Source organism: Homo sapiens, chromosome 5 (genome assembly GCF_000001405.40).
Source record: "Homo sapiens chromosome 5, GRCh38.p14 Primary Assembly".
NCBI classification, from domain to species: domain Eukaryota; kingdom Metazoa; phylum Chordata; class Mammalia; order Primates; family Hominidae; genus Homo; species Homo sapiens.
This window is the reverse complement of record NC_000005.10, coordinates 133,424,544-133,440,818: the sequence shown is the minus strand read 5'-3', so window position 1 is coordinate 133,440,818 and position 16,275 is coordinate 133,424,544. Positions and strand designations below refer to the sequence as shown.

Sequence of the window (16,275 nt, the reverse complement as noted above, 5' to 3'; positions counted from 1 at the left end):
GGAGGTGTGGAGAAGTGGTGGGTGAGGGCTGGGGGCGTGGTTCTCATGTCCTGCCTGAAACGTGTCTTCCACGCTGTGTCTGGGCTAGGCCTCTTGCAGTCTCCACTGTCTTCTCTTCCCCCTGCTTGGACATTCCCAGGCCTCTCAGAGGTTGTGTTCTGCCAGTGGAATGACTCAGGCCACTACCCTGTGCCTCCAGGGAGGTGACCCAGCTCCATGGAAAACTATTAGCCCTCCTTGGCACATCCATCCTGGGGAGGCGATAAGCTAAGTCCAGTACCGACTGCTTCTCCCAGGAAGTTGAATTTAAAGTCTCAGCTCAAGCCTGACATTGCCATAAGCAGCTTGGTCGGCCAGCCAGATGTAAGGGCTCAGTGCAGCCCCACATTAGGCTGGCTGCTGAGAGCTCCCCATGGGCCTGTGGAGCAGAAGCTGACAGATGCTGAGCCTTCCACAAGAAAGGGCCTTGAAGTCCAAACCCTTGCCAAAAACAGGCTTGGTGAGGCATCTTACGGGCACCCCTGAGCTGCCCACAGCCACCCAAATGATGTGTCTTGTTCCTGTCAAGACACCTTGTCAGCGGCCCACCTTGCCCGCTGAGGCCCTCTCCCTCCACAGCGCCCAGAAATTATTCAGTGAATGGGTGTAGCCCCGGGTTCCAGAGCTCTCTCCTGTACTACTCGCCCAGCTGGACCTGCCATTCTTCCACAGCCAGGGCTTGTGCTCCAGGGTGACTCTTCCTTTCCTTCCTCCCGACCCCAGCATGTCCCCCACCCCCAGGGCTCTGCTCACTAAGAACTGTGGGTCTGCAGCATGACTGAACAGATCCTCTATGCTTACAGCTAACACAGATCAACGTCTGACCCCTCCCAGGGTGTCCACGCCCTGAATAAAACAATGCCTACTACTGAGGAAGTGAATTCCTAATGAAGGCATTTCTAGCACTGATGGTGCCAGGTGTGGGGAAGAGGGTGGGGGTGGGCTAAGTACATGAAAACCCCGTACCTGCCCCCTTCGGCAAAGCCTTCCCAGTGGTGTGGCCTGCTCTCCCATGTGCATCTGGAGCCTGCACGCTGTCAGGCACAGCCATCTTTGGAGAATGACCCTCTCTTTGCCCTCATAGATATTGGTACCAGAGCTTGCAGCACCTCTTATTCTAAGCCCTGTTTTAGACGAAGGGAGAGATCAGCCCCAAGAGGGAAGGGACTCTCCCAGTTACCCCCACGAGCTGGCACTTGAAGACCTCTGAAGCAGGAGGGATGAAGGCAAGGCGTTTTCTTAAGTTAGCTAGCAACCTGGTCCTCCAGAGCTGTTTCTTTTTAGCGGTAGAAAGGACAGCCAGCCTCCCACCTGACAACAACAGAATGAAAAATTTAATGTGTGGTATCAATCGCAGTCCCACCCAGAGGCCTCAAATAGCTTTTGTCCTGATTGAAGGTAGAAATTCATGGCTCCAGGAGTAACCAAATATTGGCAAGTTTGGGCCCGGTCATGTCAAAAGGCTTCTAAAAAGAATGTTTTATTTAAAGTCAATAAATAATAGATTCAAAGGTCTCATAGAGTTCTAGAAACATAAAAAGGAAGATAGGCCTAGACACTCTTGTTCTATTCCCGTTGTCCACCCTGTCCACCCCACCCCATCCTCAGGTGGCCCAAACTGCTTAGATGTTAGCAAGGGCTGGGAGAAAATCCCTACAGCCCATCACTTCATCCCAAGCTATTAGGGAACACACTTGGCCATTTCTCTGTCCAAGTTTCCTTCTAGACAGTGTTACAATAAGTAGAATAAGAGCAAGACAATGTGACTTCACAGGTACATGCTTTATTACCTACACTGACTTCCACCAAAGTGGGCAGGAGGAATCAAAGGCGCGTGAGGTTCCAGAAGATCTTGAGCATCCGCGCTCATCCCAGCCCTTTTTTATATAATGCAAGTTGTTTCTCACATAACCCCATTCTTAGCCTGCAGCCAGATACCTCCCTAACTCCTCCTCAGACCTTCCCCAAAGGCAGAGCTAACTAGATCAGTTCTGCTCATCCTCAAAATCAAATTTATATCTTGCATGTGGGTTTTCCTCATTATAATGTCATTTCCATGAGGTGTGAGCCCCATTGTCAGGGCAATCCGGATGATGAATTTGCACTTCAGCCTTCACTGAAATCTTTACTTAGTCAAACTCCCACTGTGTTCCTCACTCGTCCCACACTTGTGATCATGTGAATGTAAAGGTTCTGCAGTTTCCACCAGATCCACCTCCTTCCTCCACACCCTGTATCTATTTCTCTACATCTTAACGACATGTACATGTGTCCCTAAATTCAGGGACTTCATATATTCTTTTCTATTAACAACCCCTAATATAATTCCTACCACCAATATCATATATTCTCCTTCCAACCAATACCATCTGCTGCATGGATATATCCTGGAAAGGGTTTTGAAATACCCACACCAAAAAACTCTACTAGCATTCTGGAAGAACAAATTAAATCAATTCATGACTTCTTGCCTGTAAGCACTGAATGCCAGAAGATAATGGAGCAGTATTTGGAATGTTTCAAGGACAAAAGATTATGATCCAAGAATTTGTCCTCTGCCTAGATGTTGTTCATGTCGAAGGCAAAAGAAAGGCATTCTCAGATATGCAAGAGTTCAGATATACACCATCTTCCTGCTTTTTCTTATTTTTTAAAAGAAGTACTTCAAGTCATGCTCCACCTAACTGATAAATGAATCAAAATATTGTATCATAAAAGAATGAGCCATGAGATTCCAAACAAGTCAATTATAGAATTAAGTATATATAATTAGAGTAATACGTTACAATTCAGTAGCTATAAATTCCAACCAAAGAAAGAAAAGTTGGCCCACAAAGCTGAAGACAATAATAATAATAAAAGGAAAAGGACAAAAGGAGAAAGCTCAATAACATAAATAATGAAAAAATGTTTAAAAGAAAGTGAAGAGAACAACTTCTCAATGACAATGCAAAGACTCCAAACTGACTAAAAAAAAAAACCATTTACTGGCCAAGTGCAGTGGCTCATGCCTGTAATCCCAGCACTTTGGGAGGCTGAGGTGAGTGGATCACCTGAGGTCAGGAGTTCAAGACCAGCCTGGCCAATATGGCGAAACCCCGTCTCTACTAAAAATACAAAAAATTAACCGGGTGTGGTGGCGAGCAACTGTAATCCCAGCTGCTCGGGAGGTTGAGGCAGGAGAATCACTTGAGCCCAGTAGGCGGAGGTTGCAGTGAGCCAAGATTGCACCATTGCACTCCAGCCTGGGCAACAGGGTGAGACTCTATCTCAAAAAAAAAAAAAAAAAAAAAACACCTATTTACTATATACTATATACAGTTTGCATTAAATGTTGGCTACTAAATATTCTTTCTTCAAGCTCAAATCTTAGAGATTAAATGAGCAATCCTGTGTTCTGATTCCATATTACCTTCTCAAGCTACCTCAACCATGCCCAAAGGTTGAAATAGTGCCCAAGTGCGGTGACTGTCACTGACGGCTCCTACTTAGACCTCTGCTCTGATTTCCAGGCCAATATGTCCAACTGCCTACTTGACAAAGGCACTTGAGTGCCTCACCGGCAACTAAAACTCAGAATGTCCAAATCTAAACTCATGGTCTTTCCCCATCACTAACCTTCCTGCCAGAAAAACAAATAAACAACAACCCAAAAAAGCACCATTCTCCAACCAGTGCTTCTATCTCAGTAATTGGTACCACCCTTCATCCATCTTCCTAAGCCATAGATCTTTGAGCCATCTTTGTCACCTCTTTCTCCTGTAGCAACTCAATCCAATCCATCATTAATATTTTTGGCTCTAAATATTACACACATCTCAAATCCATTCACTTCTCTCTATCTCCAATACCACCACTCTAATTCAAAATACAGTTTTTTCTCAACAAGACTCTCATAATCACATCCTAACCAGTCTCCCTGCATTCTTTCTTGCTCCCCTGGAATCTGTTTTCCACCCAAATACCAGAGTGATTTCTTTTCAAAACACAATTGGTGATTATGTCAATCAGTGGTGTGCTGATAAATGTTTAACAACCGGTTCTCGGTGGGAAAAGTCCTAATTTATAGCATTTGCCAATTTCCGTAGTGTAAATACTACTACCGTGGATGACTTCAGTTGACCAGTCCAGTGATGTCATGGAACACAGAGTCGGGAAGAGATACGAATCATCTGCCCTTATAAATAGTAGTCTCCAGCATATCATTGCTTGTAAAACTTCTGCTTAAAACTGTTTAATAACTTCTCAATGCTTCTAGAATAAAGGCTCAAATTCTCAGCAGGATCCAAAAGATCCTGCATGGTCTGACCCTATTAACCTTTCTAGCCTCAACTCACACCATGTTCTCTTTGTTCTCCATGCCTAACCCCACTAACTGACAACACACTCCTTCCTGCCACAGGTCATCCTCCATCTGGAGCACTCCCACTGCCTCCCCCTTACCCAGTTTAGTTAACAAACACATCTTTTGGAGCTGAGCCCAAGTGTCCCCTCCTTAGGAAAGCCTTTCCTGAGCCAATTCCACCAAACTAAATTGTCCTTCCATTGTAAACTTTTGTAGCACTTAGCTCATAATGCCATATACCATAAAACATAGGCCACCATTGTAATTTTACATATACTTATGAAACTATTGGCTGATGTCTGTCTTTTATACTATACTTAGAATAAATACTATACTTAGAATACCCTCAGAAGAGGGTAAGCATTGTATTTTTTTGTGATTACCACTGTATTCTCTAGTGCCTAACACTTGGCATGTGGGAAGTATTAATACATTTCTGATGCATGAGAGAATGAAAAGACACACACTTAAAGCCAAATGGCATAAGGAGATTAAAGGAAAAAGAGTGGGCGAAGTTCTGTTTGTCAAAAACAAAAACAGAAAGCAAGGGTAGCAATTTAGAGGGGAAGTAGAATTCAAGGCAACAACACTAAATGAGAAAAAGGGATGCCATTTTATGGTGATAAAATCCATGAAGAAGATGCTGTGGTCATGGAGCTTTATGTACCAAATAACACAATATCAGTGATTACTGTTAGGAATAAAAGGAAAAATAGGAGCACAATCGTAGTGTGAGAGTTTAACATACCAGTAGAACTGAACAGAAAGGCCAGGAGCAAACCTTAGAACATAGTGCTAACCTAACACAGCATTTCAAAACTGTGAGAAAAAGGATCATCAGTTATTTTCAAATGGTACTGGGCCAAATGATTAAGTATTTGTTTTAATAAGGTGGATGACTTCATATTGCAGTTGGATATGGTGGCTCTTCTAAAGCACTTGTCCCAAAACGCTCTTACACGACATTAATAAACATAACAAGAAAAGGATTCTGGAGTCAAATACATCTGCAAAACACCATGGTAAGCAAAGTTAAGCAGATATTTTTATTGCAGGACTTTTAACCATCTTTGGTGCTACTGTGCATGCTACAATCCCAAGAGGGAACTATAGCACATGCTATTCCCAGAATTACTTGAGTATTTTGTGAGACTGGTGTTTCATGTTCTGCAGAAATCACTTGGGAAATGGTGGCTTAAAAAGTTAAATAAAACACATAAAATCATAAAAGACCTCAAATAAATATGAGCAGATATTTTTGTACTTTTACTAAGGTGAGTGGGGCTTTCCTAAACCACATAAAAAAGGAAGATACAATTAGAGACATGGTTGATATATTTGATGACATAAAATCTTTAAGCTTCTGTATATCATAAGGCAAATGAAAAACTGGGGAAAAATAGTTGGAGTTATGAATGACTTTACTATAGAAAGAGCTCCTAGTAATCAATAAAAAAGATGACCATCCACATAGAAAAGTTTGTGAAGAACATGAACAGAGGGCACACACACACACAGACATTCACATCCATCCACCAAATACACATCATTATTAAATATTAGATTCTGAACCTTCCTAATAATCAAAATAAGGCAAATTAAAACAGTTAACAATATATTTTTGGCCATGAAATCAGCAATTTTTAATGATAAAATTCAGTTTTAGCAAGGATAGAGTGAAAGGGGACTCTCAAATGTAGCCAATGAAAATATAAAATGGCACCAACTCTGTGGCCAGTAATTTGGCAGTACTTATTTATTAAGTCTCTTTTTAAACATGCTTTTGATTCAGTAATTCCACTTCAGGCAATTTATCACAAGGAAAAAAATCAGAGATTGCCTAAAGATTTATGTTCAGGGATGTTTACTGTAGCTTTGTTTGTCAAAGCAGAAGTTTTGGAAGCAGCCCAAATGTCAAGCAGTGACTGGTTAAAGGAAATATGGTGTGCCCCATATGATGAGATATTATTCAGTCATTAAAAATTATGACTTGTGGAAATAGTCACAAAAAGAATGTTAAGTTTAAAAGCATGATATAAAACTACTTCCAGATTCCAATTTTATAAAGTACATATGTATATTTATGTAACTGGAAAAGACTAAGGTGAAATATAGTAAAATGTGGAGTTATTCTCTCTGAAAAACATTCCATTTATTTTATAACATTCCCCCACAGCTCCTCATCTAATCCATCAAACCAAGTCTTATCAACTCTACTTCCAAAGCGCACCTTGAGTCTCGTCTGCTTCTCTCATCACCACTACTATGCCCTAGTCAAAGCCACCATCATCTTTCATCTTTAGAAACTTAGAAGCCTCCCATTGGTCTCCCTCCCTCCCCTTTTGCCCCGTTGCAGACCAATCTCCATGCAATAGCCATAGTAATCTGTTTTCAATGTAAATCAGATTGTATTACCTTCTGCTTAAAACCCTCCAGGGCTTTCCCATCACACCTTGAAAAAAAATCCTAAGCTTTTCCCTTTGCCATGGCTCGGAGGCCCCTGGAATCCCACTGCTGCCTCCCTATCTGACCTCATCTCCTGCCACGCTCCCTTCCCGCCTTGCTTCAGCCTTTCTAGCCTCCCCTCTTGGCCCAGACACCTGCACTGGCCTTGACACCAGCTCTTCCCTCTGCCTGCCGTGCTTCCCCCAGCTCTTTACAGAGCTGACTTCTCCTGAGGTCTCAGCTTAAATCCACCTCCTCCAAGAGGCCTCCTGATCACCCAGAGTTGCCACCCTGACTTTACCTATCGAATCAATGTATTTTAATTGTCTGCACTCACGACCATCTGATTTTTTTTCTTAACTGACTCCTTTCTGTATTGTCTAAGCTTTGCCCATGAGAATATAAATTCCATTGCAGGCTGCTATATTCACTTAGAACACTGCCTGGCACTTAGTAGGCAATAAATGCTTGCCACATGAATGAAATAGAAATCAAACCAAAAACATTTCATTGAAACTGAAAAAGGTAAATCATGCCAAACAGCTTGACTTACTAACAGTGCTCAAAAAAATCAAATACTTTGGAAAATCTCCAGGCTTGAAGGGGTGCCCTACCCTTGCGTGGGTACCCCGTTGCCAGTTAGTGGGTAATCCTTCCCCCGTCTAACCCACCAGACCAGAAAATGACACTAATATGGACAGGCAGGTGGAATGGATTTGCACAGTATCCCTTACTTCAAAAACAAATAGGACTATTAAGCTTTTGCAGGTCTCTGGGGAACTTGTCCAGGTTTTGGTGAATTCCAATGAGCTCTAGTTTTAAACATGCAGGATTTCAGCTCTGGCTTTTAGTTCACTGAAAAAGAGAACAGCTTAGATTTTCTTTGCCTTGCAACTCCTGAAATTTCTCTTTCCTTCTTTGACAGCCTGAGGAGTCAGGGGCAGAGAGAATAGAGGAGCCAGATGCCTTTTAATGAGAAAGAACCCAAGAAGCCTTCTGCACTCTCTTTGTAAGCCATTTCTTAGTACTGCTTAAAAGATCTGGGCCATGCCACACATAGCAAGGCACAGAAGCATATGAAAAATTGCCAGATTTAGTGCTTGTGGCTTGGGGTGTACTGCAAGGATCTCTAAAGATGGAGATTTGTTATGTTGCTGTGGATAAATTTGAATCAAGTGTAATCCAATGCTGCTGTGTGAAAATCAGTCAGTTACCAAGTGAGTGGGCCTCGCCAGCCACCCACCCACCCAGCATCCTATCTTCCATAGGTTTCCACTTGACACTGGAATATAAGATTTGTAAGGAGCAGATTTCTGCCTATTTGGTTTACCACCAAATCCCTGGTGCCTAGAACAGCACATGCAGATAGCAGATGCCCAATAAATAATTGTTGAATAAGTTAAAGGAGAAGTAATATTTTCCCCATTTACTGAGCACTCACTGTGTGCCTCACCTGGCTCAAGTCTCATAGCAGCTCGAACTCTTAATTCTCACACCACCCCCACAAGGTAGGTTTGGCAGAAGGGAGCCTGAGAAATTAGGTACTACAAATCTCTCGTGCAGTGCATGTCTATTTGAAAGTTTATTTCCTTTGCAGGTTATTGTCTGATGTTCATGGCATTGGGTAGATATTGTGGGAGAGGCAGAAATGTCATTATGAAGAGAATTTCTCTCCATTAGCTAATGTTTAGAGAGGCATTGTGACATACAAAAAGACCATTGGTCCTGGACTTGTCACATCTGGATTCCAAATTTACCTCCTTCACTAACCTGTGTGAACTTCAACAAATCACAACCTCTCTGAGCCTCTGTTTTCTAATCTATTTTTTTTAAAGATAATGAAACCAGTCTTGCCCTGCTTGAATGGAGGTATAGTGAAGTGCAATGACAGAACAGATGTGATTGACAACTTATACTTACACCCTCTGTCTTACTGAATTGTTATTTAACTCTCAACTGAGGTAGGTCCATCAGTGTTTGGCTCAGTTCATGGGGATTTGTGTCTACCCTTGGGTACTTGGATTTTGCATATAAATGAGTTCTTCTATATAAAATGGTTCCAATGTATCTTGCACTTAATAAATGCTAGTATCACTATTGTAATTATTAATGAAAAAAACCCCAAGGATTCATTCTGGACCCTGAATACAATTTTTACCTAGACCCAGGTGGCCAATGCGTTTTGTTTTGTGTGGTATTCAGGTTATTTACTGATGTGTAACAAATTACCCCCAAACCCTAGCAGCTTAAAACAACTACCATTGTATTTTAGTTCATGATTGTGTGAATAAGGAATTAAGACAGGGCTCAGCTGGGTGATTTTTCTGCTTCAGGTGGCATTGACTGGGGTTACTCAGTAGTGTCAGTAGCATTCAGCTGCTGGCTGGGCTATAATTGAGGGCCTTATCCAGTGTTACCCACACATCTAGCATCTTGACAGGGTCAGCTGGAAGGCTGGGCTTAGCTATACTCCTCCACCCCTTGTAGTCTCAGAGTATCTCCTCCCGGTCTCTCCTGCAGGGTAGTCAGATCTCCTACATGGTGGCTCAGGGGTCTAAGAGTGAGTGTTCCAAGACATTCATGTGGAAGCTGCAAGCCTTCTTAGCTTCAGAAGTCAAGTCTTGGCTGTTCCATTCTATTGTTCAAGCAAGTTACTAAGGCCACACCTAATTTGAGAGGAGAAAAATTGTACTCTACGTCTCAGAGGAAGGAGCATCAGAGAATGTGTTGCCATCTTTAATCTACCACAGGTGGTAACACAGTTCTCTTGGTAGTGGCTGCCTGGAGTGATGTGAGAGGTAAATAAGAAGGCCACACCTGGGTTCAGTGGGAAAGTGCCAGATGTTTACCACTGTCTGCTGGGGGAATGGGGGCCTGGGGGCCCTATATTTGCAAACTTTGACTTAGAAATTTCTCCCTCATGATGCACCCCTCTAGGTCTCTCCTATTTTCTTCCTATCAACATGTATGTGCTGTTTTTTCCATCAAAAGTCCATTCTGGTTGCATTTAATTATTGTCCACCAGGAAGTTTAATAGAACACTTTATTGTTCACCACCACTTTGCAGGAATGAAGGGGAAATTCTTGTTTGTATAAGGTGTCCTTTTCCTCTAAGCCTCCTCTGCGGGGCCTTTACTGAAGACTCTGCTGACCCCCCTGTATAGTTTTGCCAAGTTAGAGTTAAGCACAGCCAGCTAAGCATCTCAATATCCAGTTATGGGTGCATTCTTCAAAAAACAGTCAGTGAATATCACCAGTGTTTTGTGTCTAAGGTACATCAGGAATTTGAGGAAGGGAAAGAGGGAGGGAAGAGCAAGCCAATCTGTTATTTTGGAAAGTCATATTTTACCCTTTTGTTCTGTGGAGTAAGATTTTGGTATTAATTTGGCTAAAAAGACACGGGTGGTGCCGAGGCATGCCTGAACAGTTTTTCCTCCACTTCTCTTGCTAGTTCATGGGTGCATCTGTGACCAAACTTGTAAGGTCTCTGGCTTGGCTATTCCTCTCCCAAGTCCTGCTGAGATGATAGTGATGAATTGGAGACTGTATTCATTTCCATGGCAACAAACATCACTGTCCTAGAGCCACTCCTCAAACCCTTTGCAAATACCACTTTTTCATTAACCCTAACCTCTGAGACATGTGGAAATCCATGCAGAAGCAGCAAGACCTACCCCACAGGGCCACTCAAACTGGAGCAAGACTAGGCTTCAGGGGAGCAGCAAGCTCCAGGTACACATGAACAGCAGGTGAAACAAAGACAATTAACTAAATTGGTTTTTCTACAATTGTTTCCTCTGTTGCAAAGTTTGCCCCTAGTGTGAAAGTCTCACTTTCAACTTACATTCCACACCCAAGCAGCTTTCTATCTAGAGTTTGAAAATTGCTTGGACAAGGAAAAATTGCACCTCACATTTTCCAAGTGCTTTGTATATCTTATGGCTGTCCAATCTTTCTCAAGTACTAATTATGAGCATTTATTTACAGCTCACGTCTCAAATACTCATAGTATGCAGTGTGTGTCTATTACCAATGATTTGCCCATTAATCAATAGAGATGCGAAAACAAGAATATGTGAACTCTGGCACAGACCCAATTAACCTGAAATAGGAGAGAAGGGACTTTATCCTCTAATTGAGTTACATCTTGAGGTGGAGTGAGCTGATGGATTCTGGGAGGTCACTGAGGGATGGTGGCCTCATGCTGAAGGTGGATGCCTCACGGGGAATGGATTCCTAAACTTACCGTGCTCTGTTCTTCTTGTAGACAACCCAGGGAGTCCAGCAACCCATAGTACGGTGCATCCAAGAGTCCAGAAACCCATAGTACAGGGAATCCAAATGACCTGATAAGTCTTTAGGAGCCTGGAGATTCACAATCAAGAGGACAGGCCTACTTTTGAGGAAGGCAGGTTCTGGAGGGAGAGTGAGCTTAAAGTCAGCCCCCATTCCTGATATCTTCTCTTGGCTTGGCTGTTGTTCCAGCTTATGTGGTTTCTTCCCTTCATCCCTGGGGTGGGGGAGTCACGAGCATAGACCTGGTACCAGGCAGTCCTGGGGTAGAATCCTCATTCAGCCTGTGTTCCCACCAAGAAAATAGAAATAGGTTGTATTATTTCTACCTCCCTTGTGAGATTGTTGTGGAGATGATCATTTCCAGAGGGCACTTTAAGCAGAACTTGGCATGTGGTAAGAGCTCAGCCCACATCAGTGCCATTGCCATCGTCATCCTCAGGCTCATTTGAATTAAAGATGAAGGGGGCAGCTCCTCGGCATTCATGATTCCATGGGCTGTGGGCGTCCTACGAGCAGATTTCTGCTGATGTGAGCCAACGAGGGGCAAATCAGTTTAACCACATCTGGGACCCAGGTTAGGGCCCTCCGGAGAAGAGGCTTTCACAGGGTAATGCTCTATGGAAACTTTAGTGTTGGGTTTCTTCCCCTGATTTATGCTATCCTTAGGATCCCACTACTAGGGCCAGGAAGAAATAACTGAAGTTCCTGCATGTGAATAAGAAGGCAGTCACTTATTTCTGGAAACTACAGCTGAGACTTGGGGAAGCTGCTTAGGATGATGACATTTGCATTTCACACCATAACGGAAATGGTGCCTCTGTGTGTCGTAGTTTACTCTTAACAATGAAGCATTGCATGCCCACTACATGCCAGCCCTGGGCTGGCATTGACAATTAACAGAAAAACCCTTTGGAAGAGTCATGTTAAGTTTAGTGGCCATAGAGCAAGGAGCATCCAGGATGAGAGAGCCCTCAATATCTGGAGTCGAGGTTGCTTCTGCAGAGAGTGAGGACAGGAGCCCCTATATGCAGCACCTCTGCACCTGGGCAGTCACTTGTGCTGTGTGACCACTTGGTGCTCAGGGCCTCGGTCTCTGCAGCTGCTGCCATGCTGAGAACAGCACAGGTGCCAGTTCACACAGGTCTCATGCCCAGGATGTCCTTAGCAGATGCCTCACAGTGGATAGCTGGAACCCAGAATGGACCTGACCCTTCTGTTGTTCGTGTCCTGTTGGCTCTGGACAGGGTACCCTCCACAAGCATGTCAAGCAAGGCCCTGGGCAGCCCCTACCCATGGTCCAGTTGGAGGTGGCAGCAAGGTGAGCTTAGTAAGGCACCAGCTTAGGGCAGCTAGGGCAAGCCAGAGAGTCAGAGATCACAGCCCAGATGGTGCAGCAGGCCCTACTTCTGCCATGATGCGTATGACAGATTACATCATCTGTCTGGCATACCCAGGTAAAATAGATCAAGAGTCCTGCCAGTTCCACACATTGGCTGCAATCCCTTTTATACACACACAGTTTTTCATCGTGTAAGTGTATGGCAATGATATTATTACAGGGATAAATTTAAATCCACTTGAAATTCATTATCATAAAACAACTCATTTCCAACTCAGCACACCTGAGGTATTGTTATTCACACATTACTTGTGACCTCCCAACTCACACAAGTTGATATCTGGGTATAGAGTGTGATTTTTCTCCCATTAGGGACTCCAGAAGAGTTCTTGAAATAGCTGCCTCCCCAGCTCCACCTCTCACCCCTTGTGCCTGCCCAATGTTTCCAGAAGGCGCAACTATAGACAGCAAAGGTCCTGTGTGCACCTCCCCAGAGAAACCCAAACCCTCACACTTCTCTGGAGCCACATGGCCAGATGAAACCTCTGAGAAGGAACCAAAGCCTTGTCTGTCCTGATGGCAGAAGTTGCAACCCTGTAGGGCTTCTCAACATGTGATCTAAGACCACAGCTTTGTAACCTAACTCAGCCACGGTCCTAGTTAAAAAGGCACATTCCTAGACCCTGCCTCAGAACTACTGAACAGAGTCACTGGGTGTGGAGTCCAGGAATCTGCATTTTTACCCCTATCGCCCCCGCCATTCCCGCCCTTCCCCCCGCCATTGCGTGCACTAATTGCTGGAAGCACTCATGAGGAGAGCCGCCTGTGTTGTGTAGAACTCCCACCCCCGCAACACACACTCACTCACCCTTTCACTTACCAACAGTTTCCTGGGCTTGGGAGGTCTGGAGAAGGCAGTAGCCCTGCAAATTGAGAAAGGCAAGCCTCGGAAGTGGACTCTTATATCTCTACTGCCAAAAGGGGCTACATCCTCTCAGGCCCCTGGGTTCATTCCTTGAGAACAGGGCTCAGCTGTGGGAGCTGATAAAACAAGGCACCCTTCCAGTTACTGAGCACCTTCTGGTGGCCCACACTGTGCTGGGCATTGCACATGAGCCGTCTCTCGTCCTTGGGGAAGATAGTAGTTGTTATCCATGCTCTATAGGTGTGGAAACTGAGGCCCAGAGAGGTTATGTGGCTGGTCCAAGGTCACACAGCTGAAGTGAGATTGTAACCCAGGGCTGCCTGACTCCAGAGCCTGTGTGTTCTCCAGTGGTGACATTGCTGGGGTAGTCTTGGGGGGCAGTGTGAGCTAGTTCATAGGATGGAAGAGTACTGTGAGGAATGTTGGGGTATTTCAAGGTTTGATAAACCAAAATTCCTCTGGGCCGTTGGGCATTTGAGAGACGGAACACTGAGAACATAAGACATGCTGAGATTTAGGTTGTTTTAGAACCTGAAATCTCAGCTTACTCCTCCCAGAACTTGTGCTGACTTTCGGAAAAAGGAAACATTTTAGCCTGGTTTGGGTTCTGGATTGCAGTAGCAGTGGTGTTTGCTAAACTAAAGAAGGGAACTGGAGCTTCTATCAGTGCATTATTAAAGCAGAACTGGCTGACTGTCTCCCTGGGAAATAACAGGACTGAGGCTTGTGCCTCCAGCCAGAGATTGCTCCTCCATAGCCCCCATTGCCACCGCTTCTACTACTTTTGCCTCCACTCCCCAGCCACCCAGTGATCCACCCTGCCAGAATGCACAATGCCGGCATTGATCATTCCCCAACCCACGGTACAGTTCAGTTTCCTCTGCTGCTAATTGGCCATGAGAGCTCCGTTATGAGGGATCAGAATTGTTAGTCTCTTCCTAATGATCTCTGTCTGGAGACCAACTTCATGACATTCTCCAATTAGGGAGTGCGGAGGGGGCAGGGCAGCGCTATTCATCTGCCCAGAACCCCCATGAAGTGACATGGGCTCATTATGCAGGAGACCCAAGCCACTGGTCCTGCGGGTCAGCACAGCCCAGGAGAGCCACGGAGGCAGGTCTCCCCCTCTCACCTCCCCAGACTCCCGGCTATCCTTTGCTCCCTGTGTCCTCCCTTCATGGCAAAGACTTTCCTTTGGTCAGGCTTGAAGGACAACACTCTGTCTTCTGCTAGCACACTCTGTGCTTTAAAAATTCCTAACTGGGAAAGATGACTTCTTTTGAGATCAAAGGCACACTCTCAGGGATGTTGGGGCAATGAGGAAGGTGAAAGCTACAGAGGAAGTCAAGACTGGTCCACTTCCAGCTCCCCATATGTGGAAGAAGAGAAGACCAAGGCCAAGAGAGAAGGGTCTTGCTCAGGGGGGGTCCCCAGCACTTAGACAGGAAGACTAGAGCCCCCCACGTCATTCCTGCTTCCCTTCTCCTCACCCTAACTTCAAATGCAGGCTCTTTATCCTATGTCCCTGTTCTCCCTTTGGACCCAGCCAGCTTCTGGATTTCTTCCGCCACTTGGCTTATCGTGCAGTGGACAAACCACACGGCTACACTTGACAGCCAGAAACTGGATCATAAGCTTTGAGGGCAGGATCCATATCTCCCTTATTCTCTGCTGTGTCCCAGGACCTAGCATCTCACCCACAGTAGGAACACAGAATTATTCAATGAGTGAATTAATTAATTAATGCTTTAACTTTAAAGTTCAAATGTAGAGTTTCAGAGAGGAACCCAGAAGGGCTATTCAAAGAAATGAATATCCAACAGTGGAAATTCAGATATTACAGAGTCTTGGGAGGTCAGTTGGGCATTAATTCTTTCCTCACAAGAGTCTGCTAATTACTTTTCCAGGTTTTCTGCTGAACAATTTGAACTCACATTCGACATAGCTTTCCCTTTTGTCTCTTTCTTAATATCTCAGCACAACTCCTGCTGTGGGGCATTGTTAAACCTCAGGCCTGGAGGGTTTGGCGATGCGCGGTTAACAGCTTTGCCACCTGGGGATGGCATTATCTCTGCCAGCCTCTAGCTGACTTGCTCTGGGTCTCCTGCTGGGAGACAAGACCAGGCTGGGACAGGCCATTCAAACAGCTTGAGAGCAGCTCTTAAGACAAACCTCGGACTTAGCTAAGGTACCTTTTTTTTTAGGTCACTTTGAAGAAATCTTAATGTTAAAAAGATTTACAAACTAAAAACTTTATAATAAAGTGTTGTCAAAAATCTGTAACAAAATCTACATCAAGTCCTTATGGTGTCTGGAACATAATAAATGTGCAATACATGTGAGCCCGTAGATCTTTTCTATCAATACTCACTTGAAATAGATTAATCCACAGTCTAATAGTTAGACCCAGTCTGATGCGCATAAGAAATGTTGCTATATCTTTTGTTTTGTTTTTACAGATTTTCTTTTGATTAGGTTATCTATTTGATGGGAAGGGAGGAAAGGCCTAGCATTTTCTGCACCCACTGTGCACCAGGAACCATGCTAAGTGCCTTACATTTCACTATGGCATGTGCTTCTCTCTATGGGCTTCAGGGAAAGGCTTATTCTCCCATTTTCCAGATGGGAGAATTAGACTCAAGATCTCAAGATCGTTAGACTCCAAAGCCAGTACTCTCTCCTTTACGTGGTATTTAGAAGTGAGCCCAGCTATGGGAATGCTGCCTAGTGACCACATGGTCACTGCCAGCTTCCCTGTCCAGACCAGCCTTCCCTTGGCCTGAGATGTGCCATAGTGCCTCTCAGAGGACACCATCACGTATTCCTGTAGTGCTTGAGTGTCACCAACCTGGAGACGCCGTGGGACAGCACAACCAGGGAAGTCGT

At 44.5% G+C, this 16,275-nt stretch overlaps 1 protein-coding gene and 1 non-coding gene across 4 annotated transcripts in view; both read left to right on the top strand.

Annotated features, from left to right (window-relative positions):
- The window catches only part of FSTL4 (follistatin like 4), a 645,613-nt gene that overhangs the window by 401,249 nt on the left and 228,089 nt on the right, over positions 1-16,275 (top strand). The gene's annotated exons all lie outside the window — the stretch shown is intronic.
- Positions 13,113-13,223, top strand: MIR1289-2 (microRNA 1289-2). Its single transcript, NR_031621.1, has one exon. It is a non-coding gene; the product is annotated as a microRNA 1289-2 (primary transcript).